Here is a 21,325-nt window from a genome sequence, read left to right on the forward strand (position 1 = left end):
ATACATTAAATAGTTATAACACAGTGTTTCAGGAAAAGTGGCAGAAACTTGAAAGATCTGATATACTGAAGACATTAACAAAAAAAGAAATGAGAAAAGTAGGCCTTGATGACCTCAAGTAAACCTATGTGACTTATAGGGATAATAATTTTCATTGGATTGAATGGAAAAATACAATGGGCAATATTGAGATGTCTGCAGTCTCAATTTAGAGAAGCTCTGATATTTGTTGGTATAGATCATTGTGTCAAAGGCAAGAAAAATATTCATTTAATGAGAATCTATCAGTCTAGGAATAGAGGCTGTGCTCCCAATGAAGGTTTATATATAGTACAACTGACTTATTCCACTTGAACCAGTAAAGTTGGGTCAGCAGAAGCTTTCTTTAGTTATCTCTGAAATTGATAAAAGAAAGCTAACTAAAGTTAAGGGCTTTTACTTATTGATTGCTTCTACTGCAGCATTCACCCTGTATAAACAAAATGATAAAGATTTTTTTTTTTTAATTTTGGCAAACCACTCATGTCTGAACTGAAATGGAAATCTTAGAACCAAACCGAAATTTTAGGTGTTTTTTCAGAATTTAGTTGCCTTTAAGATATGAATTATTTCTTTATGTTCTATCACTGTGAATTATGGATGAAGTAACTTGACATGTTATAAAAATGTGATAGTCTGTCTGAAATATTTTGATTACATATTTTTCTGAAGTCTTTTTCTTCTTTTTTCTTTAAATACAGTGTTCATTTCTCATAGTCTCCCATGCTTGAGGACTATCCTCTGAATAGTTAAGCTTGCTCTGAGCATGACAAGTGATATGGTTTGGCTGTGTCCCCACCCAAATCTCAACTTAAATTGTATCTCCCAGAATTCTGACATGTTTTGGGAGGGACCCAGGGAGAGATAATTGAATCATGGGGGCCAGTCTTTCCCATGCTATTCAAGTGATAGTGAATAAGTCTCATGAGATCTGATGGGTTTATCAGGGGTTTCCGCTTTTGCTTCTTCCTCATTTTTTCTTGCTGCTGCTATGTAAGAAGTGTCTTTTGCCTCCCACCATGATTCTGAGGCTTCCCCAGCCACATGGAACTGTAAGTCCAATTAAACCTCCTTTTCTTCCCAGTCTCCAGTTGTCTTTATCAGCAGCATGAAAATGGACTAATACAGTAAGTTGGTATCAGTAGAGTGGGGCATTGTTGAATAGATACCTGAAAATGTAGAAGCAGCTTAGGAACTGGATAACAGGCAGAGATTGGAACAGTTTGAAGAGCTCAAAAAAGACAGGAAAACATGGGAAAGTTTGAAACTTTCTACAGACTTGTTGAATGGCTTCGCCCAAAATTCTATGGTGATATGGACAATAAAATCCAAGCTGAGGTGATCTCAGATGGAGATGAGGAACTTGTTGGGAACTGGAGCAAAGGTGACTCTTGTTATGTTTTAGCAAAGAGACTGGCGGCATTTTGCCCCTGCCCTAGAGATTTGATCTTGAGAGAGATGATTTAGGATATCTGGTGGAAGAAATTTCTAAGCAGCAAAGCATTCAAGAGGTGACTTGTATGCTGTTAAAGGCATTCAGTTTTATAAAGGAAGCAAAGCATAAAACTTTGGAAAAATTGCAGTCTGACTATGCAATAGAGAAGAAAATCCCATTTTCTGGGGAGAAATTCAAGCCGGCTGCAGAAATTTGCATAAGTAGCAAGGAGCCTAATGTTAATCTCCAAGACCATGGGGAAAATGTCTCAGGGCATATCAGAGAACTTCACAGCAGCCCCTCCCATCACGGACCTGGAGGCCCAGGAGAAAAAAGTGGTTTTGTGGGCTGGGCCCAGGGTCCCTGTGCTGTATGCAGCCTAGGGACTTGGTACCCTGTGTCCCAGCTGTGCCAGCTGTGGCTGAAAGGGGCCAATGTAGAGCTTGGGCTATGGCTTCAGAGAGTGGAAGCCCCAAGCCTTGGCATCTTCCATATGGTCTTGAGCCTGCAGATGGACAGACATCAAGAATTGAGGTTTGGGAACATCCACCTAGATTTCAGAAGATGTATGATAATGCCTGGATGCCCAGGCAAAAGTTTGCTGCAGGGGCGGGATGCTCCTGGGGAACCTCTGCTAGGACAGTGCAGAAGGGAAATGTGGGGTATGATCCTCCACACAGAGTCCTTATTGGGGCACTGCCTAGTGGAGCTGTGGGAAGAGGGCCATCGTCCTCCAGACCCCAAAATGGTAGATCTACCAACAGCTTGCACTTTGCACCTGGAAAAGCTGCAGATGCTCAATGTTAGCCCATGAAAGCAGCCAGGAGGGAGGCTGTACCCTGCAAAGCCACAGGGACGTAGCTGCCCAAGACCATGGAAACCCACCTCTTGCATCAGCATGACCTGGATGTGAGACCTGGAGTTGAATGAGATCATTTTGGAGCTTTAAAATTTGACTGCCCCCTTGGATTTTGGACTTGCATGGGCCCTGTAACCCCTTTGTTTTGGACAATTTCTCCCATTTGGAACTTCTGTATTTACCTAATATCTGTACTCTTATTGTATCTAGGAAGTAACTAGCTTGCTTTTGATTTTACAGGCTCCTAGACAGAAGAGACTTGCCTTGTCTCAAATGAGACTTTGGACTGTGGACTTTTGAGTTAATGCTGAAATGAGTTAAGACTTTGGGGGACCATTGGGAAGGCATGATTGGTTTTAAAAATGCGAGAACATGAGATTTGGAGGGGCTAGGGGTAGAATGAAATGGTTTGGCTGTGTCCCCATCCAAATCTCAGCTTGAATTGTGTCTCCCAGAATTCCCATGTATTGTGGGAGGGACCCAGGGGGAGGCAATTGAATAAGGCCAGACTTTCCCGTGCTATTCTTGTGATAGCAATTAAGTCTCATGAGATCTGATGGGTTTATCAGGGGTTTCCACTTTTGTTTCTTTCTCATTTTTTTCTTGCCACCATGTAAGAAGTGCCGTTTGCCTCCTACCATGATTCTGAGGCCTCCCCAGCCATGTGGAACTGTAAGTGCAATTAAACCTCTTTTTCTTTCCAGTCTTGGGTATGTCTTTATCAGCAGCGTGAAAAATGGACTAATACAGCAAGTATTTGAAATATGTGGATAGGAATAAGAATTTTTGATTGAGACAAGGTAGGCTTATTTGAGATATCATAATTTACAAATAGCCTAAGAAACAGAATTTCTTGAAATTTATAGTTTACTTAGAATCAGTGGGAATCTTAAGAACTAGCAAATCTACCATTGCTCATTCTTTTCCAGCTGCCTACTCCTGTACTAAACATTTTTTAAAATTGCTTTGGGAAAAGTAAATTTCCTTTCCTTTCACTAATGATCATAATAAATAATATTTGGTGTAAAGCAGAAAAATCAGTAAGACAGAAAATGCAAGGAAAAAATTATGTAAAATCTATAACACTCAGAATCTGTTAAATACAGGATATTTAAGAATTGACAATAATCCTCATCCTACTGTTTTTTATTTCTCAGCAAGTGCAATGAATGTTGGCATTGTTTCTCAGACTTTGGTATGACAGTAAACTATAAAAGTATTTATTTGACACTAATTATAATTAAGGCATAGTGAGATAATCAATTGATGCAGTCTATAATTCCCTATTCTTAATTTTACAAAATAAAAATTCACAGCGATGGGAGACCTGGTCCAGCCCTGTCCATTGTGACCCACACCTCCTCAGGACTGAGCAGAAAGAGCTGCTGCAATGTAAGTTGATCTAACCTAGTTGGAAAGCAATTTATTAATAATAGTCAGAGACCTCAAATATGGATGTTCTTTGGGATTCTAATCTAATAAAATAATTAAAGTAGTCTAAATAATACAAAATACAGATAAACTTCATGCATAATATTAATAATGGCTGACCATTATAAAGTACTTATTATTATAGAACAGCAACTGTGATATTTCAAATGGATCATACCGTATAATCATTATCAAAACAATTCTGACATATTTACTATTTCTTCCTATGATCTCAGTACTTTGGGAGGATCACTTCAGGTCAGGAGTTCAAGACCACCCTGGGCAATTTATTGAGGCCCCCATCTCTACAAACAATAAAAAAAATTAGCCAGTCATGGTGGCAAACAGTGGTAGTCCTAGCTACTCTGGAGGATGAGGAGGGAGGATCAACTGAGCCCAGAAGATTGAGGCTGCAGTGAGCTATGATCCTGTTACTGCACTCCAGCCTAGGTGACAGAGCAAGACCCTGTTTCTAAACATATATGAAAAAACAAAAATATAAAAATATAAATTAAAAGATAAAACAAAAATAAAACAGTAAAATTTATTAATTGATGATTATACAACTAATAAGTGATAAAACTGGGATTAAAACTTAGTAGGTGGAAATTCAGAATTCACACATTTTTCGCATTTTGAAATTTTTTTAAAAGTCTGCAATTATTTTAATTTTAATTGACAATTAGAAATGATATATACTTATGGTGTACAATATGATGTTTTGATATAAACAGACATTGTGGAATAGCTAAATCAGGCTACTTAACATATGCATTACCTCACATATTTATAATTTTTTTGTGGTTGGAAGAACACTTGAAATCTACTCTCTTAGCAATTTTCAAGTTTATGATATATTGTTATTAACTACAGTCACCACAATGTACAATAGAGCTCTTGAACTTATTTCTCTTGTGTAATTGAAATGTTTTGTCCTTTGACCAACATCTCCTTAATCCTGCCCCTCGCCCTTGGCCTCTGGTAATTATCATTTTATTTTACTCTCTGTTTCTATAAGTTGACTTTCCTAGATTCCACAAATAAGTAAAATGATGCGATATCTGTCTTTCTGTGCCTGGCTTATTTTGCTTAACATAATGTCTTCCAAGTTCATCCACGTGAACTCCAAATGACAGAATTTCATTTTTTAAGGCTGGATACTATTCCACTCTGTATATATACCACATTTTCTTTATTCATCTGTTGATGGACACTTAGGTTGATTCCGTATCTTGGCTGTGTTGAATAATGCTGTAATAAGCATGAGAATGCAGATATGTCTTGGACATACTGATTTCAGATCCTTTGGATATATATCCAGTAATGGGATTGGTGGGTTGTGTAGTTCTAGTTTTAATGTTTTGAAGAACTTCCAACCTGTTTTCCACAATGGCTGTGCTAATTTACATTCCCATCAGCAGTGTACAAGGGTTCCCTTTTCTTCACATTCTTGCCAACACTTATCATTTACCTTTTTGATAATAGCCGTTCTAACAAAATGAGACAATATCTCAATGTGGTTTTAATCTGAATTTACCTGATGATTACTGATGCTGGCCTTTTTTCTTATAATTGTTGGCCATTTGTGTGTCTTCTTTGGAGAAATATCTATTCATGTCTGCTAATTTTTAAATTGAGTTATTTGTTTTCTTACTATTGAATTGCTTGAGTTACTTAAATATTTTGGATATTAACTGTGTGTCAGATGTGTGGTTTACAAATATATTCTCCTATTCTGTAAGTTGTCTTTTTACTCCGTTGATTGTTTTCATTGCTGTATAGAGGTGTTTTAGTTTAATGCAATCCATTTGTTTATTTTTGTGTTAGTTGCCTATGCTTTTGAGGTAATATCCAAAAAATTCATTGCCTAACTCAATGTCAAGAAGCTTTTTGCCTGTGTGGTTTTATAGTTTCAGGTCTTATGGTTAAGTCTTTAATCCATTTTTAGTTATTTTTTAATACATTGTAAAATAAGGGTCTAATTTTATTTTTTGCACGTAAATATCCAGCTTTTCCAGTACCAGTTATTGAAGAGACTATTCTTTCCCCATTTTATGTTCTTGTATCCTTGTGAAAGATCTGTTAACCATAAATGTGTATATTTATTTCTGGGCTCTTTGTTCCGTTTCATTGTTCTATATGCCTGTTTTTATGCCTGTAACACACTGTCTTTATTATTGTAGCTTTATAATATAATTTGAAAGAGGATGTATGGTGTCTGCAGCTTTGTTCTTCCTGCTTAAGATTGCTTTAGCTATTTTGGGTCCTTTGTAGTTTTATACAAATTTTAGGATTTTTTTCTGTATCTGTGAAAAAGGTCATTGCGATTTGGTAGGGATTGCTTTTGGTAGAAATTACTTTGGGTAGTATAAACATTTTTACAATATTAATTCTTCTAATCCATGAACACAAGGTGTCTTTCTATTTATTTGTATCTTCTTCATTTTCTTTTTTTCTGATTCACAAGCCTTTTGTATCTTTATTTATTTATTTATTTAGCCTAATTTCTCTGGATAGGACTTCTAGTACTATATTAAATAGAAGTGGTGAGAGTTGGCCGGGCAAGGTGGCTCACGCCTGTAATCCCAGCACTTTGGGAGGCTGAGGTAGGTGGATCACAAGGTCAGGAGTTCGAGGCCAGCCTGGCCAACATGATGAAACCCCTTCTTTACCAAAAGTACAAAAATTAGCTGAGTGCATTGGTGTGTGCCTGTAATCCCAGCTACTCAGGAGGCCGAGGCAGGAGAATTGCTTGAACCCAGGAGGCAGAGATTGCAGTGAGCCGAGATTGCACCAACGCACTCCAGCCTGGGCAACAGAGCAAGACTCCATCTCAGAAAAAAAAAAAAGTGGTGAGAGTTGGCATACTAGTTTTGTCCCTGAACTTAGAGGAAAAGTTTTCAGATTTTACCATTGAATATGAACATTGAGATCTAGTTTGTTGAGAGTTTTTATCACAGGAAGATGTTAAATTTTTTCAAATGCTTTTTAACTTTGACATCTATTAGCCAATTTCCCTGAATTCAATGTACTTTTTAGGAGAGGCAGCATGATAGAGAACACTGGATCTCAAAGTGTGGTTCCCAATCAGCAACATCAGCATCATCCAGGTATGACTAGTTAGAAATGCAAATTCTTGGGTTCTAGCCCAGACCTACTGAATCGTAAGCTCTGAGGTCTGATTCAGAAATCTGTGTCTTAATAAGCCCTCTATGTGACTGTCATGCATGCTAAAATTTAAGAACCACCAGTTTAGTAAAGGAAGAAAAATTTTATTGAAATTACCTGAGTTTAATCACATTCCACACCCAACTTTGTAAATTTGTGCAAATTATTTAATCTTCCATTTCTTTCTTTACAAAGTTAAGGATAATAATAAGTATTGCATGGGTTTTCTATAAAGATTATATAATATTTGCTAGGAGTAGTGAGTGCTTAATAAATGGGAGTTATTGCCATAGGATGGTTCATTCTGAAAGGTCTAGCTAACAGCCCTTCACAAATGCCTAATATGCCTTACTCACATCTCATAAGACACTTCAGTGGCTAATATATTATGCCAAATTGGGATTCAAAAATAATGGCTTTCTAATTTGGAAATGGTGTCCCTGATACAATTAGCTCTTTGCAACTAGAGAATCTATTATAGTCTGTTTGTTAAGTACTAAGCAAATTCTCCTTCTTACAGCATATCAATGATTAGCCTTGCTAGCTTTTGCGTATGGTGCAAATTAGGCACTTAAAGTGCATAAGCCGTTCTCAGGGAAATCCACAAAGTGGTAAGTGATAAACAAAATTGAACGCTCTCAATAAAGAATACCTGGGTTTTGTCAGCATTACCAGTAGGAAAAACTGCACAGAATACTCACCTTCTAATTGGCCCCTCTGTTAGAAAACAAATCTCTTGCCTACTGTGCTATAATACTGACAGGAAAAAGGTAAAAAATATAATTGTTATGGAAAGGGCCACTTCCTTGGCAGGCTTACCAGGCTATTATATTTTTTAGGAGCTGAACTTTCCCCAGGGTATTAATTACCCAAAATGACCACCTGGAGGCTGGGTGGGGTGGTGGGGAGCACTTTGTTCAGGGTCTCAGGTTGCAGGGCTCTGTGATAAAAACACCCTCACCATCTGTGATAACCACCAGCAGCCAGCAGCAGCCAGGTAATGAGATCAAATCATTCCCCTTAAACTTTAACCTGTCTGGGTAAGACAAAGGCTCAGCAAAGAGGATATGTCATTAAATTTAATTTAGACTTCTGGAGTTTAGACTTTTGTTTTTATCAATAAAATAAATGTTTAAACCTAAAGCCATTTGCAGGAGCAGACACAGTGAAGCTTTGACTTATTGCCTCTAGATAATGCTAGGTTCTTGCCAGTGCATACATTCCTAATAAAAGCAAGGCACATGAAAATGGCGACTGTTGTCTATTTAAAATATCTCTTCTGGTCTGTGTCCAGTGATCTTACACATATAAGCTTAACTTTTTTGGATGTTTACAATTTTTTTTGAGTTTGTGAATAATATTATAATTATGTTGAGCCTGAATTATAGGTTTGCATTTGCTAAGCAGAAGACACTGTCTGCACTAAATGACTTTTTAAAGAGTTTCCTAATGAGCAGTGGTGTTCAATATGTTGGGAGCTGTGAGCACCACATGAATCAAAGTGCTAGCTATTAAAATAGGTCTTCTTAATTAAATGGAATTATATTTTCTTTAAAGGAGCTATTTGACTTTATCAAACACATTACAATTTGACTTTATCAAACACGTTACAAAGATATGGGGGATGAGTCAGACTCATTACAGGTGGTAAAGAAATGACTGGAGTTGAAATTAAAGTTTCCAATTTTCTCCCTCCTCTTCCTGCTCCTCTTCCCTCCATCTTCTGATTTAGTTGCTTTTAAACTGACAGCATTATAGATGTCTCATCTTCATGCTCACCCTGGTTTTTGCTTAAGGTCTTAGTGTGCCTCTGTCATTTTTGATTTCACAAATAACGCAGGTCACTCCATTACCTTGAACTTGCACATCACCATTACACATAGAAGACTGTAAATATTTTAAACATGATTTCTTGGTAATTTGTGGTTTAATAACTATGAAAATTAGCCTTACACATGTGTCAAGGAAAAGGCAAAAGAGGGAAAGACTAAATAAAAAGAGAACCAATAAGAAAGGCAAGTAAAATCTACATGCTATGTAGTCTATGATCACATAACTCCATGAAAAGTTTCCTTCCAAAATGTGTAACGTTTGTCACTACAATATTTGTTGAATATAAGTGATGAATGACTGAATGACTTTAGGTCTTGTTAGACTACTTAGTTGCCTGCTGGTGCACCATAACTATGATTACAGGAAAAATGGCCATGCGTGATTATAAGGCATCCAAATAAGACCCATTATGTTGTGAGCTAGTGCTTTTCTGTATTACCATATATCTACCAAGATGAGATACAGTCAGAGAGGTGAGGTTTATAAAACATTCTTAACTAAAATATTATTGAACAATGGAAGAAGGTGATAAAAATTAATAGCTATTATGTTATTTAAAAATTACTATGTTTTTTAAAATCAAGAAGAGTTTTATCTCAGTGTTCTGCATACTAACCAACTTACCATGCACATTAGATAAATCCTAAATAATAATTTGTTATAAATCTTCAAGAAGTTATTTTTCTGCTTATAAAAAATATGTTTATTGTTAAAAACTTAGAAAATAGATAAAATAAAAAGTAAAAAATACTTAGAATTCCACACATAAAAATAGCCTCTAACAGATTGGATATTTAGCTCATTCTTGCATAACATTTCCATATTTTTAAAATAATGGACATCACATTTCCTCTGGGGAGCCTTCCTATCCTGCTTATCCTGACTAGGCCAGCTTCCTCTCCCATGATATCCATATTTTCCCCACTTACTTAACTCATCTTATTATAAAATCTATTTAAAGGTTTGTCCACCCCTCCCAATAAGATTTCTAAGTGAAATCTAAGAAATCATGTCTCATTCCTCTTTGTATCCCTAACACTAAACACCCTGCATCTACAAAATTAAACCTAGGATTGTTAAAAGAACAATGTATAAGTTAGTTCAAATATAATTCTCTATCCAACCTTTTTCACTTAACATATATAAAAGTATTATCTTATGTCATTATATTTCCTCAGAACTCCCCCTGCTTTTCCTGAGGCACAGTATTCCATCATATGTCTATACTATAATTTCTTTTTTTTTCCCTGAAACATTTGAGAGTAATTTGCCAACATGATGCCCATCACTCCCAAATATTTTAGTATTTATTTCTCTCAAAAGGATATTTTCCAACATAATCATAATCAAAAATTTATAGATACATTACTACCCTCATTAGAGTATAGATACATATTGTAGATTAGACAAGTTCCACCATTTGTCTCAATAATGTCCTTTGTAAAAGCGAAAGGATGTCAGTCAGAAGCACACACTGAATTCACTTGTCATTCCCTCTTAGTCTTCAGTCTTCCCATAACATTCATGATCTTGAAAGTTTTGAAGAATACAGACCAGTAATTTTGGAGAATGTTCTTCAGTTTATGTTTGTCTAATGTTTCCTCACAAATAGATTCAGGTTATGTATTTCTGGCAGGAATATCACAGAAGTGATGCTGGGGTTGTTGTTGTTGCTGTTGTTGTTTTTTTGAGACGGAGCCTCATTCTGTCACCAGGCTGGTGTGCAGTGGCGTGATTATATAAGCATTCCCCAGCTTTTTTTGTGATTATAGAAAGCAATGTGTTACTGCAAAGAACACAGTACAGTAGAAAAGTTATAATTATACAGGATGGATAAGCTATGAAGATCAAATGTACATCATGTGACTATAGATAATAATAGTGTATTATATACTTGAAATTTGCTAAGAGAGTATATCTTAAGTGTTCTTACCATACACAAAACATGGTAACAGTATGAGGTGATGGATATATTAATTAGCTCAATTGTGATAGTCATTTCACTATGTATGCATGTATCAAAGCATCAAGTTATACACATTAAATGTATACAATTTGAATTTCTCAAGCATATCTCAATAACGCTGGAGAAGAAAAATGATACTTGTATTTCAAGACCTTAAAAATCTAAAAGAGAGATATGTGTTTACAATTAGTAGGCAGAACACAGAAATATAACAAAAGTAAAATCAATACATCTGAAAGCATCAAACTAGGAGATATGAATTTCAATAAGACATTAATTTGACTTCAGGGAAAATAATTTCTGAATATTACGTTTATTCTTCTTTATCTCAAATGTGTTCTAGGGCAAAGTCCTTTCATTCTGTTTTTCTTGCTTTTTTCACACTAGGTATTTTTTATGAGCTTCATGTATAAATTGAGATTATGAAATAGTTGATTCCATCTTCTGACTATTGTAGTCTAGCAACAGTGGGAATGAGAATGAAAAAGGAGTCAACTTTAGTTGCATGTTGAGTTTGCCTGTAGAGTATCCTTAAGGGGCAGCTGACCAAGAAGCAGGGAGAACCTAGAACTCCAGGAACCAGTTGGTTGCCCTGATTTTGCTGCAGGAGAATGTCTTGCCTGAGGGTCTGGTTTATTCTGAATGCCTCTGAAGAGAATAATGTGTTCTCCTGAGGGGCAAAGGAGAATTTTGTTTTAAATAAGGAAATACTCAGGATGAGATAGAGTATGAAATGACTTCTGAGATTCAGTAGGGGGCATACTTAGACTTACCAGATTAATTCCACACCCTGCCCCCAACCCCCACGTGCCCTCCCATTTCTTTTCTTTTCTTTTCTTTTCCTTTCTTTTTCTTTCTTTCTTTCTTTCTTTCTTTCTTTCTTTCTTTCTTTCTTTCTTTCTTTCTTTCTTTCTTTCTCTTTCTCTCTTTCTGTCCTTCCTTCCTTCCTTCCTTCCTTCCTTCCTTCCTTCCTTCCTTCCTTCCTTCTTTCTCTCTTTCTCTCTTTCTTTCTCTCTTTCTTTCCTTTCTGACAGGGTTTTGCCTTGTGGCCCAGGCTGGAGTGCAGCGGCACAATCACAGCTCACTGCAGTTTCGACTTCCTGGGCTCAGGTGATTCTGTCACCTCAGCCTCCTGAGTAGCTGGGACTACAGGCATGCGCCATGAAGCCCAGCTAATTTGTTTGTTTGTTTGTATGTTTGTTTTTTGAGACGGAGTCTTGCTCTGTCGCCCAGGCTGGAGTGCAGTGGCGCGATCTCGGCTCACTGCAACCTCCACCTCCCCAAGCCAGGCTAATTTTTTTATTTTAATTTTAATTTTTTGTAGAGATGGGTTTTGCCATGTTGCCCAGCTTGGTCTTGAACTCCGAAGCTCCAGCGATTTGCTCTCGCAGCCTCCCAAAGTGCTGAGATTACAGCATGAATCATAATGCCCAGCCTCCTACAAAACTTTAAAGTTAACACTTTGCTTTTCTACATGGAAATTACCAAATCTTCTATAGCCTTCTTTTTCTTTATCCTCTCCTCCACTGTTCATTTTCTCTGTACAAATTGCTTTTAGAGACTAGTTACAGTACAGGCTGGAACACCTTCCTTGGTGTCTTCTAATCATAGATAATGGAGTGGTCATTGTAACCAAGGGCTGCACTGACAGTCCTTTGAGGTCGAATACCCTAAATCCATAGACTGTGCCAAAAGTTCTCTCCATGTGGATGTTTTCAACATTTTATAATTTATTTTTTTTAATGAAAGATTCTCTTGGTTTTTCTTTACATGCCAAGGCCTTACCTGAAAACATGCATTTTAATTTGGTATGTTTAACTTTGAGAAATTATGATCCAAAGTGTTCTTAATATAGACCCTGGATTTCCTGAGATACACTAAATTACAAGTTTCTTCTCTGTTGTCTACATAAGTATATGAAATCAAAGCATGTTCTTATTTATTTCATAACTTTTGAAATGAATAATAAATGTTTTCAGTCCTCTACAGTGTACCAGGTTCTATGTTAAACCGTTTATATGCATTTTTTAAAAATTGAATTCCCATTGTAATTCTATATCATAGGTGTCATTATAATTCCCATTTTCCAGATGAGGGAACTGAGGCTTATAAATATTTCATAATTTGTATAAGATCATACCAATAGGGCTGGCTACATAATTTGTGGGACCACGTGCAAGATAAAAACCGTGGACCCCCTTGCTCAAAAATCAGAACAAAAGCTTTTCCTTTTCTTTATCAGTGTCTTTCTCTCAAGTTGTCATAGCGGTTTTATTTGCTGTTGAATATTGTCCTGGCTTGGGCATAAGGATACTCAAGTGATACATGTATACTCTAACAGGTGCCCAGAACCTAGAGCCCTGCCCTGAAGCTTATTGCATTGGGCATAAAAGCCCAACCTGGCCTTAGCCTGCCCAAGCTTCTCCAGGGGCAGAAGATAGCAGTGGTCACAAGGCAGGGATAGGAGGGAAAACCTAGGTGAGATGTGGGTGGCAGAGGAAGAGGGATCAGGCAGCTGAGAATCAGTTCTAGGGATGTGTGGAGATTGTGGGAGGTAGGACTATACCTGCACTGAGGCTCCAAGTCTTTGGTGCACATGCCATTGTCTTATCAGACTTCACTTAAGTCACAAATCCAAAGATAAGTTTATAATGAATTTCAAGACAGCAACTGTAAGACATTAAAACCCAAACACAGGATCCTCTTCTGAGCTGTGCCTTCAGAGGAGTTCGTTTAAAAAAACTGAAGTTGATGAAATTACATAAAGCCATATACCATGAAGGCATATAGCACTTGAGTACTAACAACAGAGTTTGGAATCCATCACAGTTAGGTAGGATGCCAAAGCCTAGTATACTAGAAGTCATGGTAATTTAGTAGAGGAAATAGGAGTCATACATGTTCATTAGGTATCAAAAACTACTTAGTGAAAAGAAGGCTTTTACTAAGACAGGAAGAATCATATGGTCTAATGCTGGGTGGAAAGTCTAGCACCCACCTTTTAGGCAATCTATGCTATTTCAGGGTTTTACTCTTAGTAATCATTATGCTTTCAATCAAATGATTTTGCCTGCATATTATTATCTATGTGAAAGCATGTAAAATGAGTAGTGTTAATGCATCATTTTTATTGCTTTAAAAAAGGTTTCCTTTTTGGTGACCTGGAAACTTTCCTGCCTAGCTTGTTAATTAGGTTTTTCTGAAGCAGTGCTCAGTCTTGACCATGTGATTCTTGGTCACAGACAGTGGCCACCCTAGAGTGTAATGGTCAACCTCCCTGAGAATTTGGAGAGGGGGGTGTCCTCTGTTTGGAGTGGAGGCTGACTCCTAGCTGCAGCTTACTTTGCTTTTATAATTTAATAACAAATTTCCCTATTATGCCTGTGTTCAAATTTCATCTGAAGAAAGAAAAGCAAATCCACCACCAGACGTGCACGTTTCCCAATACCCTTAATAAAACATATTGCACAGTGTGGAGTGACATTTTAAAAGAACAGACCTTTCAGCAGCTTGTCTCTATGCCATTGTGCATAACTAAAGCCTGCTAGGTCACAAAGGGAGATGCAGGGAAGTGGATTAATATGTAAACCAACCTAGGCACCTTCAGATGATGAATTCTAAGGTATACTTTGTGAATTCATTTCATTTTGAGAGCAGTTGTGCCCAGAAATTAATTTGTATTCATAAAGCTTCCCCATTTTCTCTTTAGATAATGACAAGCTTTGTTCTTCTTGAAAAGTTTGTTTTTAACAATGTGGCACATTAATTCTGTAAGATAAATATTTCTAACCAAAGGATGGTATAGAAAATTGTTGATAGAAAATAATATATTTTGGAAAAACATATAGAATGTCCCAGTTCTCACATAGTGCCTGCCTTAGAAATGCAATGGATGGAGTCTGTGTGTTTTGAGATTTTTAAAGAAACTCATTAAAATTCATATATGTAAAGCTTATTTTAACAAAATAGACATAAAAGGACTCTTAATTTCTGAACGAATCACTACAGCTAAAAGCATTGGGATTTAATTGTTGCCCGGTCCCCAGCACACGGCAGTCTTCCACATCAGGTGAGAGCCAGCATCACAGAGCTTAGGGGATTTGAGCTTGCCTCTGAGGACAGGGATCTGAGAGTCTGAGGTCCTTTTGAAGCTTCCATTGTGTATTGCTCCAATAAATGTATTATAGTTCTTTCCAGAGAATGACAAAACATTATCTTAAAACTACAAGTTTTTCAGGCCACCATTACAGACAGTGGCTTAACTATGATAAGTACATTTCAAGCTCCTATGTCTTAGATTCCACCTAATGGACTGTCAGGAAAAAGATGGAGCTTCATGGGTCAAGCATTTATCAGTTGTTGACTTCCTAACAGTAGCTCATCCCTTCTTAAGAATATTACTTCAGAGCAAGTGTGAAAAAAAACAAAAAACAAAAAAAACCCTAAGCTCTGTGAACCGTGCATTTTCTTTTGAAAACTCTGAATAAAGATGCCTCCAATTAGTCAGGGAGGATAAAGGATGCATTTGATTACATGATGGGCATGCAAGCTTTGTTGATGCAATCACTCAACTTTATCATTTTTTTCTATCCTACAGTGCCTGGTGTTATTAAGACAATATGTCTACAGATTTCAAAATAATCCATTGACTAGAAAAATTTGCATCACTATGGCTTCAATAGACAAAGTATTCAAGACAGTGCTTGGAATTAGTAGCTTTCATTTATCCTGCCTACAGGAAGAGGAAGACAAGTTTTAAATGACAGCTCTTAAAGATGGTGGCGGAGTCCCAGGAATGATGTTGAGAATCAGGCTGCATTTCTGAGAAAGCACTCAGAGCTCTTTGCTCTTGTATACTGCCAATGTGGAATCACTTCTAAATTTGCCTTAATCCAACTCCTAGGAAAAGGAAGTTTTACCTGCCACAATGCTCCACACAAAGAAAACCGAGTAAGTCTTGTCAAAGAAGTACTCGGTGGATGCAGGGCGTTTCTCTTTTTGCCAGCTTCCTTGGCTCAAATCCCATGCAAACCATCTCCCTTCAGCACTAGAGGGAGGTGATTAACCATAGAATCCAATTAAAAAAAAGAACTAAAAATCCCTAATTCTTCTTTTGAATGATAAGAGATTTGGACAAAACATTTAACTGAAAAACAATTATCTCAAAAAATTTAAATCCTAGTTGCTTCATGAGCACTCTAGCACTGGGCCGAACCTCCTTTCTGTACTGTTGAACTGACCTTCTCTTCCCTGCCTCACTCTTACCGAGGTATAGTCCTTCCTCTCGCTTCTTTGGTGATTAGCTCATGTAATCTAGGAGTGGCTGTATCATACTTATTTTATTCTAATTGTTGTCCAACTTTTCCATTATTACCACGCATTTCTTTGAGAATCAAAAAAGTTTATTTTAAAAATAAATGGAAAGGATGATCAAAATTAGAAGATACGTAAAATCAGTGTTGGAAGCTTTCTTTCTTGTACCAGAATTGCATACCTCACAATTCATCTTTTCAGAAACGTGTTAGTAAGTACTTTTTATAGCTGCATGCATCATAGTATCATTCGATTTTATTTATGCATGGTCTGTTTCTTTCTTTCTTTTTTTTTTTTTTTTGAGACGGAGTTGCGTTCTGTTGCCGAGGCTGGAGTGCAGTGGTATGATCTTGGCTCATTGCAACCTCTGTCTCCCGGGTTCAAGCGATTCTCCTACCTCAACCTCCCTAGTAGCTGGGACTACAGGCATCCGCCACCATATCTGGCTGGTTTTTGTATTTCTAGTAGAGACAGGGTTTTACCATGTTGGCCAGGCTGGTCTCGAACTCCTGACTTCAGGTGATCCACCCGCCTCAGCTTCCCAAAGTGCTGGGATTACAGATGTGAGCCACCACACCTGGTTATGCATTGTCAAGTTTCTAATTAATATTACCTCAACCATGGTGGAGCTGGTTGGCGTGAGGAAGTATATCCAACAAAAATGGTGCAAGCCTCAATGTACATGAACAATAGGGTTGATGTTAATGATGACGATGCCACCCAAGTTAAGAACAAATGACCTATTCATATAGCTCACTTTTTAAGTTCCTATTTACATTCTGAAGCAGAACGAGAAAAAACTCTGATTTAATTTTCCTAATATCAAGGAAAAAGATAGTCCTATGGCAAAAAGTACTGCTCCAATTTTGTAATCTTCTGTTAAAAATTAACAGAAAAATAAATATTTCTGATGATTTGTAGGTTTTAAGGAGGATAGACTTTATTCTCTTAAGAAAAATTTCCCAGAAAAACTAAGTAAGCTCTATCTAATGGTAGTGTATCTATAATCTTAGAATGAGGAAATAGAAAACATTCTGAATAAATTTAAAATGGTTAGTTGGTGTGTGCAACTTTACTTACTAGAGCTACTTGAACTAAGTAGCATGTATGTTTTTTACTCTCATTTTTTAGTTAATTTGTCTAGGAAACAAGTGATTATGAACTATACAATAACGAGGCTAAAGTTGCATCTGAATTTTCTATTAGGCTATTTTCTAGAGCAGCTTTATGTCCTCAGCAAAATTGGGCAGAATGCATAGAGATTTCCATTATACCCCCTGCCCTAGAACATGCATAGCCTCTCCCAGATAAACGTTCCCAAGCAGAGTAATATATTTGTTATAACTGAGGAACCTACGTTGACACATCATCACCAACCAGAATCCATAGTTTACGTTAGTTCACTCTTGGTGTTGTACAGCCTATGGATTTGGACAAATGTCTAATGACACAAATCCATTCTTTTAGAATCATAGAGAGTTGTTTTACTGCCCTAAAAGTCCTCTGTGTTCTGCCTATTTATCTTTCTCTCCCCAACCCTTGACAACTACTATCTTTTCATTGTCTCCAAAGCATTACCTTTCAAGAATATCAGATAGTTGGATCACACAGTATGTAGCGTTTTTCACATTGGCCTTGTTCACTTAGTAATATACATTTAAGTTTCCTCCCTGTCTTTTCATGGCTTGATAGGTCATTCCTTTTTAGTGCTGAATAATATTCCATTATCTGGATGTACCACAGTTTATCCATTCACCTACTGAAGGATATCTTGGTTGTCTCTTAAGTTTGGGCAATTATAAATAAAGCTGTCATAAATATCATGTGCAAGTTTTTGTGTGGACATCAGTTTTCAACTTCTTTCAGTAAATACTAAGGAGTGTGATTACTGCATCATATGATAAGAGTATGTTTAGTTTTGTAAGAAGCTGCCAAACTGTCTTTTAAGGCAGCTGTAACACTTTGCATTCCTACCAGCAAAGAATGAGAGTTCCTGTTGTTCCACATCCTCAGCAATATTTGTTTGTATTAGCGTTCTGCATTATGGCTATTCTAATAGGTATATAATATCTCATTACTGTTTTTATTTGCATTTCCCTGGTGACATATAATGTAAGGCATCTCTTGATATGCTTATTTGCCATCTGTATATCTTCTTAAGTGAGGTGCCTGTTAAGGTCTTTAGCTTATTTTTAAATTGAGTTGTTTGTTTTCTTATTGTTGAGTTTTAAAAGTTCTTTGTATATTTTGGATAACACTTCTTTATCAGTTATGTCTTTTCCAAATATTTTCTTCCAGTTTGCCTCTTTTTATTCTTTTGACCATGTCTTTTACACAGCAGAAAATCTTAAATTTAATAAAGCTCAGTCTCTTAATCCTTTCTCTCATGGATTATGTCTTCAGTGTTATTCTAAGAATAATTGTCATCACCAATCCCAAAGTCGTTTAGGTTTTCTTGTGTGTTATCTTCTAGGAGTTTGATAGTTTTTCATTTTACATTTAGTTCTGTGATCCTTTTGAGTTAATTTTTGTAAAGGTTATAAGGTCTGCATCTAGAATCATATATTTGCATGTAAATGTTCCGTTGTTCCAGCACCATTTGTTGAAAATGCTATATTCTCTTCATTGTATTGCCTTTACTCTGTCAAAGACCTGTTGACTATATTTACAACAGTCTATTTCTGAGCTCTTTATTCTGTTCCATTGATCTTTTTGTCGGCTCTTTCATCAGTACTACACTGTTTTAATGGCTATAGCTTTGTAGTACGTCTTGAAGTTGGAGAATGTCAATCTGCCAACTTTGTTCTTCTCTTTCAATATTGTGTTGGCTATCCTGAATCTTTTGCCTCTGTCTATAAACTATAGAATCAGTTTGTTGATATCCACAAAATAACTTGCTGGGATTTTGATTGGGATGTATTGATTCTATAGATCAACTTAGGAAGAACTGACATCTTGACATTATTGAGTCTTTCTATACATGATCCATAAATGGAATATCTCTCCATTTATTTAGTAGTTCTTTGGGTTCTTTCATCAATGTTTTGTGGTTTTTCTCATATAGATCATATTCATATTTCATTAGATTTCTACTTAAGTTTTCATGTTTTGGGGATGCTAATGTAAATGTTTTTTTATTTCAAATTTCACTTGTTCATTACTGGCATATAGGAAAGTGATTGGGTTTTACACACTAGTCTTGCATTCTGCAACCTTGCTATAATCTCTTATTAGTTTCAAAGTATTTTTTGTCAACTCTTTCATATTTCCTACATAGACAGTCATGTCATTTGTGAACAAACACAATTTAATTTCCTCCTTTATAATCTATTTCCCTTTTGTTTTCTTTTTTGTCTTATTGTATTAGCTGGACTTCCAATACAATGCTGAAAAGGAGTGGTGAGATGACACATGTTTGCCTTATTCCTAATCTTAGTGGTAAAGCTTTGAGTTTTTCACTCTTAAGCATGGTGTTAGCTGTAGGTTTTTTGTAGATATTCCTTTAACAAGTTGAAGAATTTCTCCTCTACTCCTAATTTACTGGGAGTTTTTGTCATGAATGGGTGTTCGTTTTCATCAAATGTTTTTCTGCATCCATTGATAGGATCATGTGATATTTTTTCTGTACCCTTTGATGTAAAGAATTACACTAATTGATTTTCAAATGTTGAACAAGTCTTACATACCTGGAATAATTGCTACTTAGTTGTGGTATGTAATTCTTTTGATATATCTTTGGATTTGATTTGTTAGTCATTTTATTTTCTTGTAATGTCTTTGCCAAGCTTTGATAGTAGGGTAATGCCTGCCTGACAGAATGGGTTATAGAGTATTCCTTCAGCTTATAATTTCTGGAAAATGTAGTAGAAAATTGGTGTCATTTATTTCTTACATTTTGTTAGAATTATCAGCAAACTCATCTGGGCCTGGTACTTTCTGTTTTGGAAGGCTATTAGTGATTGATTCAATTTATTTAACAAATATAGGCCTATTCAGAGTGTCTATTGCTTTTTGTGTGAGTTTTGGCAGATTGTGTCTGTCAAGAAATTGATTCCATTTAATCAATTTTTTAATGCAACAGATAAAAAAATAAGCCCTAGACATTTCTGTATCTTATGGTTTCAGAAACAGTTTGACTATCATTCCTGAAGTGCCAGAGTTTGAGCAAACATCACATAAGTGGTAAGTTCTCAAAGAAGTGGAGATCTTTTTCCCTTTATACTCACTATAATGACCTGTCTTTAATGCTGGACCGTCTTACTAGGGTGGAAAAATGTTAAACTGATTTATTGTTATGCCAGCAGAAAACTGCCCTTTTAATTCATAGTAAAACATTTTTCTGTGTCCTAATAACTGACTGAAGGGAGGGATTCAGTGAATGAAGGGAAGAAAATATGCACACACTAAGATAACAACAAGGCTCTAAAACGTAGTAGTACACAAATATGCCAAGTATGTGGGAAACTTTATAAGGGATGCTACATGACCATAACTGATAAGGAAGAAAATAAGAGTCAGTAGTTATGAGTCACTCTGGGTAAGGTTGGCAGACACAGAGCTTGTTTACCATCTCCCTGCCCCAGGAAAATCAGACCAACCCAGCATTTTTTGGTCCAGTCCCATTCTACTCCTGTGTGTAAACCCAGTTAATCACTAAGAGGTCAACCACTTCAGTTTGTATTTTTTAATAAAAGGCCTATTTTTCTTCCCTATATCATTCTCCTTAAGGATTAAACCTGACATTTCAAGATGCCAAAAGGTTGTTATCCTAACGCATTGATGCATCCTTTTGCCAAGTTGCCTGGGTTAATGCTCATAATAAAGGCCAATGTTTCAATCATTGCAACAGGAGTAAAGAGAACTGTTTAGCCAGTTATTTTCTGAACTGAAATGTTCAAATATATTGGATTTCTCAATTCCCAATCTAGGGCATCAAATCAAGTGCATTCTCTAGAGAAGAATAAACTGACAGCTCCCTCTCATCCAGCTCAGAACAAAATATCACGTTATTCAATAGAGTAAAAGAAAACTTTAATGATTTTTTCGTGAGGAGTGTGAGAACAGGCTAATAATTTAGCTAAATTTGTCAGTAAATCTGGACAAAGCTTATATTGCAAATGTTTTCTTTCTTAACATTAAATCAAAAGTCTAGAAGAAAGAATATGAATATTATAAGCATGTAATATATATTACATTTTTACAAAGAGATGTTATGAATAAATGTATGCTATATTTCTGACTCCGATCATATTTCTGTATTCCCTCATTCTGTATTAGATGC

General features: G+C 36.3%; 1 protein-coding gene across 2 annotated transcripts in view; it reads left to right on the forward strand.

Moving 5' to 3' along the window:
- Positions 1-21,325, forward strand: part of GALNT13 (polypeptide N-acetylgalactosaminyltransferase 13) — a 1,388,282-nt gene that overhangs the window by 265,763 nt on the left and 1,101,194 nt on the right. The window contains exons 6-7 of one of the 2 annotated variants that reach the window (NM_001422882.1): positions 2,952-3,005; positions 3,650-3,725. The exons of the other annotated variant lie outside the window; for it this stretch is intronic. The gene's annotated coding sequence lies outside the window, so the exon portion shown is untranslated. The remainder of the gene's footprint in view (positions 1-2,951; positions 3,006-3,649; positions 3,726-21,325) is intronic. 2 annotated transcript variants of the gene reach the window in all.

The sequence above is a fragment of the Homo sapiens genome, chromosome 2 (genome assembly GCF_000001405.40).
Source record: "Homo sapiens chromosome 2, GRCh38.p14 Primary Assembly".
Lineage (NCBI taxonomy): Eukaryota > Metazoa > Chordata > Mammalia > Primates > Hominidae > Homo > Homo sapiens.